Source organism: Homo sapiens, chromosome 1 (assembly GCF_000001405.40).
Source record: "Homo sapiens chromosome 1, GRCh38.p14 Primary Assembly".
Taxonomy (NCBI): domain Eukaryota; kingdom Metazoa; phylum Chordata; class Mammalia; order Primates; family Hominidae; genus Homo; species Homo sapiens.
The window spans coordinates 14,201,111-14,217,244 of record NC_000001.11 but is presented as its reverse complement, the minus strand read 5'-3'; the positions used below and the strand labels follow the sequence as shown (position 1 = coordinate 14,217,244).

Genomic DNA, 16,134 nt, shown 5'->3' with positions numbered 1-16,134 from the left:
ATAATTTATAATGAAGAAAAATTTATTGGCCCACAGTTCTGAAGGCTGGAAAGTCCAATATCAAGTTGTCAGCATCTGGCAAGAGTCTTCTTGCTGCATCTTGACATGGTAGAAGAGCAAAGAGAGAGGGAAAGGAGGCTGAACTTTCCCTTTTATAAGAGCATAGTCCCCCTTAAATTGAGTTATTTATTAAAGGTCCTACTACTTAATATTGTTATAATGGCAATTAGTTTCAACACAAGTTTTGGAAGTGACAAATACTCAAACCGTAGCAACTGTGATCTTTTCCTGTTGCCCATTTCTATGTAAAATTTGCTCTTTTAAACTTTTTTTATTTTTTGAGACAGAGTTCCACTCTTGTCACCTAGGCTGTAGTGCAATGGTGAGATCTCAGCTCACTGAAGCCTCCGCCTCCTGGGTTCAAGCAATTCTCCAGCCTCAGCCTCCTGAGTAGCTGGGATTACAGGCTCCCACCACCACTCCCAGCTAATCTTTTGTATTTTTAGTAGAGACGGGGTTTTGCCATGTTGACCAGGCTGTTCTTGAAATCCTGACAGGTCATCCACCTGCCTCAGCCTCCCAAAGTGCTGGGATTACAGGTATGAGCCAACACGCTCAGCATCTTTTCAACTTTTAATCGGGATATAGTTCAGTATAGTTTTACTAACTTTTCCAACTTTAGGCTTTACAGCACCTTCTCCTTTCGTTTTCATGCAGTTTTCAAAACATACAGCAGCTTGTTCTCTGAGATCTCTTACCTCTAGGCACTTCTTCCACTTTTATCTTTACCTTCTCTTTCCCTTGTCTTTATACTGCTCAGTTTGGGTCCTGCTCTCAACAGTTTGTCCTCAGTGAGTGACTACCCTGGAAGGAAGTTTCAAATGTTCAAGAAACCCAGACCATTCCACTCCTTTAGATCTTACTGTTAACTCTTTTTATTCACCTGCTAGTAGAGTACACAAAGCCTCTCCCAGTTTTGGCTACTTTCCATTGAGTACATGTTGGACATTTGGGGATCCTGAGGCATGTCAACTGCTTTGTTTCTCCCCTTAGCTTCCTCCTGCTAAATTATGGCTGATATAATGTGGGCCCTTGTTGCTATTAATGATTTGTCTCCCCAAAATCATATTTTTGTCAATTTAATTTGTTAATGACATTCATGTGTTTTGGTTTTGCTATCTTTTTGCTCTATTTTTTAAAAAAATTGAGGATATTTAAAACTTCTTCTGCCACTGCCACAATATTCCAAGATATTTATATTTTTGTATGTTATTGATATAGTAATACAAATTGAAATATAGTATGTTTTAGCTGGGAAAAAAGAAATATAATTAAAGACATTATTCCTGTAGAAGTTGGATGAACATTAATGAGAAGCTTAGCCTCCCTGACCTCTCAGTTCATCTCTAGTTCTTGGATTCTATAGCACAAGCCTTGAGAGAGCCAGAATAATATGGTTTACATAGATTAGAGCCTATCAGACCTGGGTTCAAATCCACCCTCACCAATTATTATTTGCATGGGCTTGAATAAGCTTTTCTGTAGGCTTCAGTTTCTTTACCTGAAAAGCAAAGACAACAGTACCTTTATAAAGCCAAAGCGCCAGACCTATAGCAGTTTTCTTCATTTCAAAAAGGAAACCTTCACCAAAAAGAACCAATCGTTGTGCAGAAAGTTAAGGCTATTCAACTGCAACTTAAATGAAATATCAAAATTCCCTCTAATACTACCCAGCTTTGGCCTCAGAATATTAGTAGACCTTTGAATCCCCAGTTGTTAGGATAAATGGGAATATGTAAGCACTGGTGGGACTAAGGTCTAGAGCAGCAGGCCCTTCCCACATTCCTTCCAAGTCTGTTCATCAGGAAGGAATTTGGTGATCAATGATACAATCATTTTGGTTAAATAAATCCTACAAGCCACACTCTGGGGACTCTCCTGACACAGCCTAAAAAATGAATAACCTGTAATGACAATCACACAGCTCTCATTCCTTCTACATCATACTTATCTAATGAATTGGTGTCAAACACAGAAAATTATTAGAAGAATTTCCTGAAGGGCTTTGTCACTTCAAATCCAAACTTTGTCAATTTCATAGCTCCCCACGTGAGAAATGACTTTTTTGATAAATGCTTAATGTACACATTACTCCAAGAACACTTAAGTTAGAAACATGAGATTACCAAAAAGCTTTATGAAAGAAATGCAGGCATGTCTTTCTGCATACCTAAATGTTGCATAGCCTAAAGCTATTTTTAATTTTTCATTTGATTTACTAAGCTTTTCCAACCTCAGCACAATTTATCACCTTACCTGTGTTTTCTATCATTCCTTCCCAACCATAAGTTCTTGAGGATAGGGGCTGTGTCTTCTACTCTGCATTCCTTGTGCTCAGCACACGGCCTTGGGCACAATGCACTTGCAATTGTGCTCACAGACTAAATTAAGTCAACTCCCCAGCTCCACTATCCAAATCATCTTGTACCACAGTCTTCATTCTCTTGGTAAGTGGCTACCTCTATTCTATTTGTTTTTCATGCTCTTTTACATCTCATATACAATCCATCAGTAAATCTTGTTGGTTCTTGAAAAATATGTCTTTAGCACCTCCTCCTCTTTCTCCCCTTTATTGTGTTTAGATAATTCTACTATTTTCATGTCCTTCTAGGAAAGGATTAGGAAAGTAAATGAAAAATCATATATTTTGCTACTTATTTTTCAAGTCCCATAAGCATTTATTGGAAGCTGTAGAGTAAGAAGGTTGAGATTGTCAATTAAGCTGAGTTGGGGGTTATCTGCAGATTTTTAAATTCTTTAATTTAAAAAATATTTATTGACTACACCTTATTTCAGACATGGTTGTGGTGCTGAGTAAAGCAGTGCATAAAACCAACACAGCCCCCACTGGCATAATCTTGCCTTGAGTTTGGAAAGAAAGACAACAAACCGATAAGCAAATTCATGTATGTGATCATGTCAGATAACGATGTACACTCCAAAGAAAGCCGGAGTGAGGTGAGGTAAGACCGGGTCCTTGGATCATTTCTTCTTCTACTTATATTCACATCTTTGATGATCTCATCCAATCTCATGATTTTAAAAATCAATTATACATAGATGATTCCCCAAATTGAAATCCAGACTTGCATATCCATTTTCCTATTCCAATGTCTCTTCTTGCATGTCTAATAGGCACCTCAAACTTGGCATTTCCAAATCCCAACTCCTTAAGCCCACGCCAAATCTGCTCAGACCACCATCTTCACTCTTGGTAAGTGGCCACCTCCATCATCCCATTTGCTCTTCACACTTGTGTGTCCCACATATGATGCATCAGTAAATCGTGTTGGTTCTTAAAAATATGCCTAGGCTCCTGACACTTCTACTGCTACTGTGCTAATCTGAGCCACTACCAGCTGTCCTCTGGGCCACCACAGGTAGCCTCATAACTAGACCCCCTGCTTCTAATCTTCCCTGCTCCCACATAGACTAGTCTCCCCCCAACATAGTCAGAATGTTCCTTTTAAAAGTAAGTCAAATCACATAATTCTTTGGCTTCAAACCCTCTACTGGTTTCTTGAAAGTAAAAGCCAAAGTCCTTATCACAGCCTATAAGTGACCTTTCTGACCTTTCTAACCAACTAACCTCTACTTCTCTCCCTCACTGGCTCTGTTTCAACCATACTGGCCTCTGTGCCACTCTGCAAACATGGCAGGTGCATTCTAACCTTAAGACCTTTGCACTTGCCCTCCTCTGTCTTGGATACTCCTCCCCTATACATCTCCATGAATCCCTACTTCATCTCTTCAGGCCTGTGCTACAAACAGGCCATCCTATGTAAAATTGCCATTCCTAACACCAGTGGCATATTCCATCATATTTCTTGGTTCTAGTTTCCTATTTAGGCCGGAGGGGATGGGAGGAAGAGGGAGTCTTAGTAGCACGAGAGAAGGACTCTGCATGACCCAGTGAGAACAGTGAGCCAGCAACCAAGGGGCATGATGAAATCAACCCCGTGTACCTGATGTTCTCAAAAGAAAAAGGATACAAGTGCTGGAAAAACATAAATGATTTTCCATATCTACTTAAGAAATAATATGCTAAAATAGCCTTTAAATAAATACAGAAAATTTACATATAAGAAAATCTTCCCAAGTAGAGGATGCTAAATACAGGTATGTATCCTGTTTGGTAAAATAAACACATTCCTGAAAAGTGGAGTGTACATTTAATTCCTGAACAACAGATGTCATTTTGAATTCATTATAGGGATTTATTAATTAAAGAAATCCTATAAGAATCCCAGTGTAAAGTGAATCATTGGTATCCTCTTTAATTTCATGGATAAAACTATATTTTCATGTATTTGCATTGCATAAAATCAAGACATTTAGGCCTTCGAATTGGCTAGGAGGAGAGGTGGGTTTTCAGAAAGCTTTTGAGGACAAGATTCATAAAATTTCCTACTGGAAGGAACAGACAAATATAATCAGCTTTGTTTCTGGAGGTGGGAGGTTAGAAATAGTAAGATGTCCTGACTTGCACTGGTGCTGGTGGCTGTCAACTGGATATAAAGGAATTCTTCTGGATATACCTACCTCCTCTCATTTCCCTGCTGGCAGCTGGGATATTGCAAAATTGATCAAGTAGGTCTCAGAGCTACTGTCACTTTCTATTCCATTCTAAGAGAATCATGATTTAGGTCTTAATTAAAAACAAATCCAAGCAAAAATCTCATTTTACCTTTTTTTTTTTTTTCTGGCTTATAATCTGTGGTATATTGACCTCCAGAAAAAGAGCTAGTCGTCTTTTTGAAAGGCTTTCTTTTGTTTTCCTTTGAAGTAAAACTTTAAAGAAAATTTGTGATCACTTAGCATAATTTCTCTCAAATTTTAAGGCTGTGAAAAGCAGTGCCTTGAAGGAAAGAAACAGATGGTCAAAGAGAGGTTTCGTCAATCACAGCTCCCCTCCCCACTCCTGAAAAGACGAAGCCATCATTAATTTCCAAATAATAGTAAATCCTAGCAGGGGATGATGCCAACCGTCTGCATAACCCGTGCCAGGCACTGGTGCTGTTTTGGCTTTAAAAGAAGGGGGATGGCCATGGTTCTTGAAAGATTTCACCAAAACATTCGCAGCAAACATTATCAATGGAAGGAGTGAAAGCCGTGGACCATTCATAAGAGGTGTTCCAGCCCTCACACACAAGAGAAAACCAGAAACCACTGAGATAAACACAAATTCCTAAGAAGGCTGGGCTTGTGGCAGAGTTGTCTGTATACATGTGGGAACCAGGCTGGGGGATAGGACAAAATTAACGGGGTGAAGGGGCTATGGCACCAAGGAGCTTGCCTGCCTATGTGAATGCACTCAGTTTAAAACAATAAAACCAAAACAAAACCAAGGAAAAAAAAAAAGCTTGGGGTTAAGAACTATAACAAGTGGTAAGCTGATAAATTTGGAAAATTTTGTAGGAGAGAAGCCCCGATTTGTAGCATTTGCTTATTTCCATGGTGTAAATATTCCCATCATGGCCAATTTTAAGCTATTAATAGTTTAACAACAGGTCAAATCCTGGAACATTCAATTAATCAGCTCTCTCAAGCCCATACAAGACATCTCCAGAGGACCACTGACCCTAGTTCTCTGCCGTCAATGTATTTCCCAGTCTTATCTTCCCTATTCTTGAAATAAAAATTACAAATTAAAAAAAGATAGGCCCGGCACGGTGGCTCACGCCTGTAACCCCAGCACTTTGGGAGGCCGAGGCGGGCAGATCACGAGGTCACAAGATCGAGACCATCCTGGCTAACACAATGAAACTCTGTCTCTACTAAAAATACAAAAACAAAATTAGCTGGGTGTGGTGGTGGGTGCCTGTAGTCCCAGCTACTCGGGAGGCTGAGGCGAGAGAATGGTGTGAACCCGGGAGGCGGAACTTGCAGTGAGTCGAGATTGTGCCACTGCACTCCAGCCTGGGCGACAGAGCAAGACTACATCTCAAAAATAAAATAAAAATAAATAAACAAATAGAGATAGGTTTGAATTGTGGACAAATAGTTGAACACTGTGATTCAAATCCAAAGACTTCTCTGCAATTTGGGTGTATGAGTGCCTTCAGTGAGTGCACACTTAGAATAGAACACCATAAAACAGGGGTTCTCAAAGTGTTACATGGGAACTCCTGTGTGTCTCCCAAATCTTCCATCTAAGAGGTAAAGACTATTTTTATAATAATTATAATAATCTATAATTTTAAGAGATTAATTGTCTTTTTACTCTTATTCTCCAATGAGTGTACAGTGGAGTTTTCCAGAGGCTACATTGACATATGAACAGTGTGATATTGTCACAGATTAATTGTAGGAGCAGATTTAAGATTCTACGTGTCTCTTATGAAGCCTCACATTAAAGAGATTTGCAGAAATATACCATAATGACATTCTTCTCAATATTTTGTTTAGTATAATAATTTTTATAAGTATGCTATTTATGTTAACATAAAATGGGTTTATTATTATTGTTTTAAAATAAATAAACATTTCAAAAATGCTTCAGTTTTAATTGCCCTGTGGTAAATATTGATAGATTTAACCCATATAGATCAAGATTCTTAGGGGTCCTTAGTAATTTTTAAGAGTGCAATGGGGTTAGTTCTAACCAAAAAGTTTGAGAATTTGCCTGCCCATATGCATGTTTAATTAATATATTCATTAGGGAGAAGGTTTAGACCCCATTGTTCACAATTTGTTTCACCTCCACTGTAGCAGGCATCCAACTGCAGGATGACTATGTAAGTGTTGTATTAGTGCATTCTCACACTGCTAATAAAGACATACCCGAGACTGGGTAATTTATAAAGAAAAAGAGGTTTAATGGACTCACAGTTCCACATGGCTGGGGAAGCCTCACAATCATGGCAGAAGGCGAAGGAGGAGCAAAGGCACATCTTACATGGCAGCAGGCAAGACAGCATGTGCAGGGGAACTGGCCTTTATAAAACCATCAGCTCTCATGAGACTTATTCACCATCACAAGAACAGCATGGGAAAAACCCACCCCTATGATTCAATTACCTCCCACTGTGTCCCTCTCATGATATGTGGGGATTATAGGAGCTACAATTCAAGATGAGATTTGGGTGGGGACACAGCCAAACCATATCAAGTATCTTCCTTTCTCATCATGCTACAGAAACCAGCACCACCGCTGGCCTCAAACAGGCATATGAATGCCTGCTGAAGGAATGAATCTGGGCAGGGACAGGATGAAGCTACATCAGAGGGAGACATAAAACCCAAGGATCAGTCATTCACAGTTCCAGGCCCCACAAACAGTAGCAGCTCGTCTGGAAGGGCAACTCTCAGTGGGTACCAATAACAGGCCTGGCTGTATGCTGATGTCCAGATTGTCATCATTGGGGACACAGTGATGTAGGCCACCTTTGCATGGGTATACATAGCCAGGTGCATATTAATAGCCAATATTGAACTGCTATACAAACAATTACAATTACCAGTTATAAATACATGAACTGTTATCCTGATATTCACCTGCCTACATAATTGGAACTTTGGTCCAGGTCTGTAGATAAGAAATTGTTAGTAGTAAATTTATTAGTGCCACATTTGCACTATAGTTATCTACACTACTCCCTTGATTATTTAAACTGGTGTTTTTATGCCTTAATTTATTAATATTATAATCCTTATCTCTATAAAAGAAAATGCATATAAATTTAAAAAGTATTTGTGAAGGGCAGGCAGATTTTTCCAAAGGTTATAGCTGCCCAGAAGGCATAGGGTTTTACTTACTGAAATGGAGATGGGGTATGCTGGAAAAAAACATCTCCCCTGGTTCTTATATTTCCACGTGGAGGGACCTCCAGGCCTCTTGGGCCAGTCTCCCCCATGCCACACCAAGGAGTAGCGAGTAAGTCACCTAACTGGTGGGTGACAGTGTGGTTTCTGGTTCTGGTTTCTCAATGGAATGGAGCTGATGTACTAATAGAAAAATCTTGAGGTATTCCTGAAAGGTTCTCTTTTTTTCCTTTGCTGTGATGGGTCAGCACGAAGGAGGGATCTGGGTAACCACGGCTACTCGGCATAGCAGCCGAGATCCTAATTTTCCTTTGCTTGACCTCCCCAAGTTCTAGAGCAGGGTAGTGGTGGGGGCATAGGGGAGCAGAGATAATGTACAAGCATTCAGTTGCATAGCAACATGTTCTCTAAAACAGACACTGTGATGTCCTGCGAGGCTCTTGTGTTCAATTCTCATCATAGTTCCTAACTCAAAGTAAGAATGCAGGAATGTCTATGAACCTCTTAGAATCTCAAGGGGGTTGTGGGGCATGAGAATGGAGTTTGGGTAGCAAATGATTGAAGAAGCAACTCTTGGAGAGGTAAGACCATAGGCCGTGACTCAACCCCTCAAGTTATAAACCCACCTCCACTTCTACCTATCTCTAGGAGACCCTCAGCATGTTGCTGGCTGAGACTACCCTTTATTTTACCATCAGTTAAATGCAGAAAATTATATCCATGCTGCAGCATTATTCTCAGGATGAAAAGACAATAAAAGCTCAGCTTGGCAAAGTGCAGGACATTAAGAAGACATTCAGGGCACTTTACTCTTTTCTTATACTCATTGCTATTTGTAATTACAAAGTGATTATTTCATTTATTATCTATCTCTCCCACCCAACTGTCAACTCTGTGAGAGTAGAGACTACCGGCTTTTTTTCACTCTGTCTACTCAGAGGCTACCTACCATATCTGGCACATAATAAATGCCCAGTAAATAAATAAGTGAACGAGTCAACGAGTGAATGAATGAGTCAATGAATGAGAGTTAATATTTAGCATTGTGCAAACTACCTTGATAATTTTAAAGAGCTATTTTTTATATAACCTTTACTATTGACAACCATGTATATGTTTATATGAGAAATACTTCTAGAATTAAAATGATAACTTGATTTCTAAACACAGATAGCTGTACATTATGTCCGGTTACCATCCTTCTGCGAACCATTAGCCTTTGTCTCCTCCACCTTAGGGGATGGAGAAGTATCATTATGAATACAGGAGATAATCCTCCTTTGCTTTGGTGTTAAATCAGCCCAAACAGCATGGACACTCTTAGTCCGTGATTAGACTCAAAAAGATCAAAGCCAAAAGTAATAGGGTGCACAGCTCCAGTAAACGATATTTTCAACAAATGAGAGGGGAATGGCAGTTTCAGGGGGAATCTTTGTGAAGCATGTGCATCAGGAGAATAGAACGTCTTGTTGCAAAAGCTTCAAAGCAAGTTCTGATACCACCATTATCTGCCATCAGCCAGCATGGGCCCTCCTTGGCCTGTCCATTTTCAGCCATTTGTGAACCACCCCACAGCAGGTCTTGTGTGGCCCTCTAGCTCTTGATCGTCTTTGATCTTTCATAAGCTTAGTAATCTAAGTCCTAAGATGTTTTTTTCTCAGATATTAGAATGTCCCTGGGCATTCTAGAATGTTCCAACTCACCAGGATTCTAAAATGGCCAGGATACAGATGAAGTGAAAGGGGCGCTCACCCAGCCCCCAAATTTAAAGGGGTGCCAAAAAACTCGGTAATCAAGATAACATTTTAAAACAATATATTTTTGATTAATGCAAAAATAGTTCACAAGGTACAAAATATCAAAATTTGAAATAAAGACAAAATAGGTGAGTGAGTGAGTGAGTGAGATCATATTGTGCAAGTGTAGGGTTAAATTCTGCCTTCATTTCAAGTTTTGATATTTTGATCATCACAGCAAAGCTTTGAAAAACATGATGCTCGGGTTGGGAGGGGACATTCAGAATCACTACAGCAAAAGGGTTCAGCATACTAAAGGTCAGGAAGCTGACAATAAGCAACAAAACCTTGAGAAGTACTCATTTCCTTTAACCTCCTAACATCACCCGAGCAATTTATGGTAAAAAAGGATGTAAAAATGGGCCAGGCATGGTGGCTCACACTTGTAATCCTAGCACTTTGGGAGGCTGAGGTGGGCAGATCACCTGAGGTCAGGAGTTCGAGACCAGCCTGGCCAACATGGCAAAACTCCATCTCTACCAAAAATACAAAAATTAGCTGGGTATGATGCCACGTGCCTGTAATCCCAGCTACTTGAGAGGCTGAGGCAGGAGAATCACTTGAACCCGAGAGGCAGAAGTTGCAGTGAGCTGAGATTACACCACTGCCCTCCAGCCTGGGCAACAAGAGTGAAACTCCATCTCAAAAAAAAAAAGAAAGAAAGAAAAAGAAGAAGAAAAGAAAGGATGTAGAAATGCACAGAATCATTTACTCTACCATTTATCACAGAGTTATTTAGAGCAAAGAAAAACCTGGAAGCAACCTGAGTGCTCGGTTATAGGAGAATGGCTGATTCAATGCAGGCATGGCCACGTTATGGCATATTATACAGCTATCAACAACTCAATTTGAAGAATGTTTAATGGCATGGGAAAATGCTCACGAGTGCTTCTCAGAATAGGGAATTTGAAAAAAAAAAAAAGAAAATGCTCATGAAGTTAGGTTTAAAAGGGATGGTACTGGGTATACATAAAAGGAAAATTATAATTTTGTTTAAAAATGTTATAAAAACTAAAAGATTTTATTTTTTTTAAAACACTTGTTTTAACTATACTTCCTCTTGGTAAGATTAAGAGGATGATGATGTCTAGTTACCATAGACTCTAAAGCTGTTACCATTACATTCAGAGAGAGGGAGGCTACAACAAATCACCAAAGAGTCCACTTTGAGAATAGGACAATTTTACCAAAGATTTTCTTTCTTCTACTGGTGTGGTGAGGCCACTGCAATGAATACTGAGCAGGAAGAATAACTTTTCTAATTATTATTGACCAAAATTCAAAACTGCAGGTGAAATATAAGTACAATTATTCTGTTTCTGTTCTGCATGCATCTATATTTCTTTTTTAAAAAATCAGAAAAGAAAAAAACAAAAAGTCAGCTGACTTTGTGGACTAGAACACAGATTAAAGAAAATATTAACCTGTTGTATTTTCTAAATTTTCTCTTACATAGTTATATTACTGAAAAATTAAAAATGGAAATGAGAAATTTGATTCTGTAATAATTCCCTTGATAACTCATTACTTACAGGTAGGAATATACATTGCCCATGCAGTAATGTTTACCTATCTTTGGGTGGCTTTTTTAAAAAATTTATTTATTATACTTTAAGTTTTAGGGTACATGTGCACAACATGCAGGCTTCTTACATATGTATACATGCGCCACGTTGGTGTGTTGCACCCATTAAACTCGTCATTTAACATTAGGTAGCTTTTTTTTTTTTTTTTTTTTTTGAGACAGTGTCTTGCTCTGTCGCCTGGCTGGAGTGCAGTGGCGCAATCTTGGCTCACTGCAACCTCTGCCTCTTGGGTTCAATCGATTCTCCTGCCTTAGCCTCCCAAGTAGCTAGGATTACAGGCATGCATCACCACACCCAGCTAATTTATTTTGCATTTTTTGTAGACACGGGGTTTCACCATGTTGGTCAGGATGGCCTTGATCTCCTGACCTCGTGATCTGCCCACCTCGGCCTCCCAAAGTGCTCAGATTACAGGTGTGAGCCATGGGTGACATTTTAATTGATGTATGTGTTCACCAACAGGATGTGTTTTCGCAATGCTGGCTATACAGAAAATCCTGTTTTCACTGCCACAGTGTATCAATTCCATTAAAAAATCTTTACAATAAATTAAATTGGAAATTTCTAACAATTATGATGCAGGCTAGGGCATGGAACAATGGGAATTGCCATACATTAGTTCATGACAATAGTGAACATTTTTATTACCTCTTCACAGCTTCCTCTTCTGCTGTAAATTGACCCAACTCCTGAATCTTCCTTCAAGCTCTACTTTATCATTCCTGATACTCAGGGACTTTGCTCCCTGTGCCAGAGACTAGGTGAGCTGACTACTAAACCCATTTCCTCGCTCTCCTGAGAACACAGCTGAATTACATTTTCCAGCCTTCTTTGGGCTTATTACAGTCATGAGACTTAAAGTACCAGTGAATTACATGTAGGTGTAAGTGATGGCTGCTCAGTCATGGCCTTTATTAACCTACCACCTGCAACTTTCAGCCTCTTCCCCATCTGCCTCCTGAATGAAGAATTGGAGATAGAAGCAGCCTGGCTCCCTGAGTGACCAGCTGCATGGAAGGCCACATAATGTCTTGGACTTCCAGGAAATCAAGAACACCTTCTTAGAACTTCATATTGGCAAGAAATCAGATTTTATTAGTTAAGTTGCTGAGATTTCAGTTTATCTCTGACAGCAGTTAGCATTCCCTAGTACACTTCCCTCTTCTCCATTCTTGCAAGTCTGCAAGAGGCTAGCAGAACTGAGTTCCAATATTATCTTTTCTAATTAGGTGTCACCTATCACATGAATTATGCCAGCTGAAATATGCCATAACTTTGCGACTCTACATGCCTGGGCAGAAATTAGTCCATGCCTTGTTAATTCTGTAATTCCATAGATATAAATAAAAGGTTTTTTTAATCCCAGAAGTTGAACCATTCTTTACATTTGTCACCTTTTAATAATTCTAAGGCCATATGACTAAATATTTTCTTTTTCATTTACAAAAATAGGATAGCCAGAGAAAAGGGAAGATTAAATAAAATATAAAACAAATTTGTTTCTCCTTGTGGAAGAAATAAAGATCAAATTATTTTGCCTGATTTTTAATCTGTCATAACTTAATGTCAGTTTTATTTACTATTTTAAAGTAAAGACATTAGCAGTTTAGTAGCCATATAAATGGACCATTCTCCTTTGAAGAAAAGGTTGTCTGCACTACCTTGTCTGTGCTCCATGATTTCTTTTTCAAAGGTCAGAAATAACAAATGAATCCTGGCATGTCCTATACAAGGTATGGCTCAGAAGCCTCAGAAGTGTTTGTGAGGAGAAAGAATAATCGTGAAGAAGTCATTTCTGGTGATTATTTGGAAAATAATGAGAAAACCAGAGTGAAATGGAAAAGAAACCTCAAGTTTCAGGAAGCATGCAAATATTCCAAAAGGAAGATTTTCAAAGAACGGGTCAACCAGTCTTAACTGCACTATCCTACTTCCAATCTCTTTTCCTTCTCCAAAAGCAGTAACCCATAAAATAAATGTGCAAAGCTTCTTTCTTGGGTTTTCTATTAAAAGTTTAATTTGCAACACACCCAAATGTGATTTCTATTCCACTCTCTGGAGAACACTGATGAATCCTCTGTTGTGGAGGCAGTGCAGGTTGGTGGCTAAGGAGAGGCCATCCATTTCCCACGGTGACAGGAGGCTGACCATAATGGCAGCTGCAACCACGTTTGCTCCTGTTGCTATGAACATTTGGGACACTAAAATAAATGGATTGTACTGAAAGATTCTTTCACTCTCCCTACCATATCATCTTAATGGGGAATTCATACCACTTTGAGCTGCATTTACTGCTGAAATGAAATGATGGTTTCTAAAATTACTTTAGCGCACATTGAGTTGTACCTAAGTTTATTGGGTTATGGGATAACATTTTGTTTTTAGTGAAGGCCACCTTTTCAGAAGGCCCTGGACTCTCGAGTCAATTATTACTTTGTCAAATCGAGGGATGTGAATCTCTGTTTCAGCCTGAAATCCCCATCTCTTTCCTCTAATTGAAATACCATCATTTCTTAAACTTTCAAACATATTCTTATATCTAGAACCAAGACTGAAGCATATTACACATTCCAGAAGTGAGTAATTAATACAATTTTAAAAGAAAAGGATTAAGGAGTGAAGACTAGCAACTGTTGGGTAATGTAGTGTAGCCTTCAGTCCTAAGTACACACTCGTGGGAGAGGAAAAGGGCTTACGACTTAGGTTCATGGCTGTGCCCTGAAGCCATTCTCTATTATCCACTTCTAATGAAGTATTTATTGATCCCCTACTGTATGCAGACACTGGATATTTCCTCTCGCACTCCACTCTTCCAAAATCTATTTGATGCATTATACAGAATCCATTTTTCACTGTCTATCTCATTTTGGGAATACAGTCCATAACCACTTAAAATACGTCACGATAGGCTTCTTATTATTTATTATCTAGTATAATGCAACATACTTTTTATCATAAGAATTCCTTATATTTGCAAAGCACCCAATTTTCTAAAACACTTTCCTATCTATGATGATTTTTGAGACGGAGTTTTGCTCTTGTCGCCCAGGCTGGAGTGCAGTGGTGCGATCTCGGCTCACGGCAAGCTCTGCCTCCCAGGTTCAAGCAATTCTCCTGCCTCAGCCTCCAAGTAGCTGGGATTACAGGCGCCCACGACCATGCCCAGCTAACTTTTTATATGTTTAGTAGAGACGGGATTTTGGCATGTTGGCCAGGCTGGTCTCGATCTCCTGATCTCAGGTGATCTGCCTGCCTCAGCCTCCCTGATCATGATTTTTATCTTCCCATGGTTATTGCTTCAATAGGGGAAATGTGAAAATATCTAGCATAGTGACTTACCTGTAATATATGCCCTTTGGAATACTAGCTGCCTCCTTTCTGACACTCCTGAGGTCACTAGCTAAAATAATAATGTTCCCATCTTGTAGACCCAAACACTCCCCACAGAAGTTAAGGGACATTTCAGAAAGTCACCTAGCAAGTGAGTAGTTCCACTGGATCCAGAACTTGTTCTCCCCACACCATCCCTGCTCTCTTCCCTGCACCCCAGCACCTGGGGTATCACAGAGCCCTCCTCCAATACAGGAGAAGCTTCCTTCTGAACAAGCCTGCTTTCCTGTGATTCCCACACCAGGCGAGACCAGGTTGGTAATGCTGTCTCAGCTAGTCACATATTTAGAATGCCTTCCCTAAAAACTTCAGAAGAGGAACTGATGAAAACTGATGGCTGTTCCTAAGCAGCCTGAACTGTAGCAGAACGCACGTGTGTCTCCTGCAGTTCTACCCCAGACAAGGAAGAGCCAGGGACATAGTGTGCAGCTTGAATGCAGGAGCTCCTGAGCCAGCCTTGGTTCTAATCCTGCCTCCAGGACTCACCCTGTGTGGTTGTCTTGGGTTGATTACTGACCCCCATCTTGCTCTAGTTTCCATCTGAAACATGGGAATGATGTTGATACTTACCTCATTGGGTTAAGAGGATTCCATAAATTAAAGTGATTACACAGAATCTGGCATTTAAGAAGCACTCCATGTTTGTGAAAATAAAATAAGTAAAGAAAATAAAAAACGAGGGGCCAGGCGCAGTGGCTCACGCCTGTAATCCCAGCACTTTGGGAGGCCGAGGCAGGCGGATCACCTGAGGTCGGGAATTTGAGACCAGCCTGACCAACATGGAGAAACCCTGTCTCTACTAAAAATACAAAATTAGCCAGGTGTGGTGGTGCATGCCTGTAATCCCAGCTACTCGGGAGGCTAAGGCAGGAGAATCACCTCAACCTGGGATGCGGAGGTTGCAGTGAGCCGAGATCCTGCCATTGCACTCCAGCCTGGGCAACAAGAGCGAAACTTCACCTCAAGAAAAGAAACGAACAATGTACCAAGGCAGGGGATCTCACCTGGCTTTCTTAGATTGAGTGAGTTGGAGTCCAAATGAACCAATGATGAGATGCACTGATGCTGGGGCTTTGTCTGCAGAGTCCATACACAAAGGTCCCTTTCAGGAGCAGGACAGACTGGCTGAGGTGGGAATGAAAGTGGGGGTAGGTGGTTTGACCTGGGGAGCAGCCGCCAGGCTCCACCAGCTGCTCCGGGGCAGCCAGGGCCCAGTGCCAGTCAGCTATGTCATTGGAGACACAGGGACTGTCCGATGCTCTGGAATTAGAGTGCTGGGTGCATTAACAGCTCGCTGCAGATTTGCAACTACTAATATCAACTGATAAACACCTCATGTGCTTTCTTGTGTGAGAGAGAAACTTTGAGTTGGAGTTGGAAAGAGGTGGAGGAAAAGAAGAAAAGGAAAGAGGAAAGACGAGAGGTTTAGCTAAAGAAAAAAATAATGAACATTAAAAATGGCTCAAAAGAAATGTCTGTCACAGGCAGTGAAAACTGAGAACCATTATCAGTGGAGATGCAAAACCAGATCTCTGAAG

At 40.1% G+C, this 16,134-nt stretch overlaps 1 protein-coding gene and 1 long non-coding RNA gene across 8 annotated transcripts in view; both read right to left on the bottom strand.

Annotated features, from left to right (window-relative positions):
• LOC107985467 (uncharacterized) overlaps nucleotides 1-15,300 on the bottom strand; it is a 53,718-nt gene extending 38,418 nt beyond the window's left edge. For both annotated transcript variants that reach the window (XR_001737610.2, XR_001737611.2), the window contains exon 1: nucleotides 759-15,300. This is a non-coding gene — a long non-coding RNA (uncharacterized LOC107985467). The remainder of the gene's footprint in view (nucleotides 1-758) is intronic.
• Nucleotides 1-16,134, bottom strand: part of KAZN (kazrin, periplakin interacting protein) — a 1,225,220-nt gene that overhangs the window by 900,799 nt on the left and 308,287 nt on the right. The window lies entirely within an intron of this gene.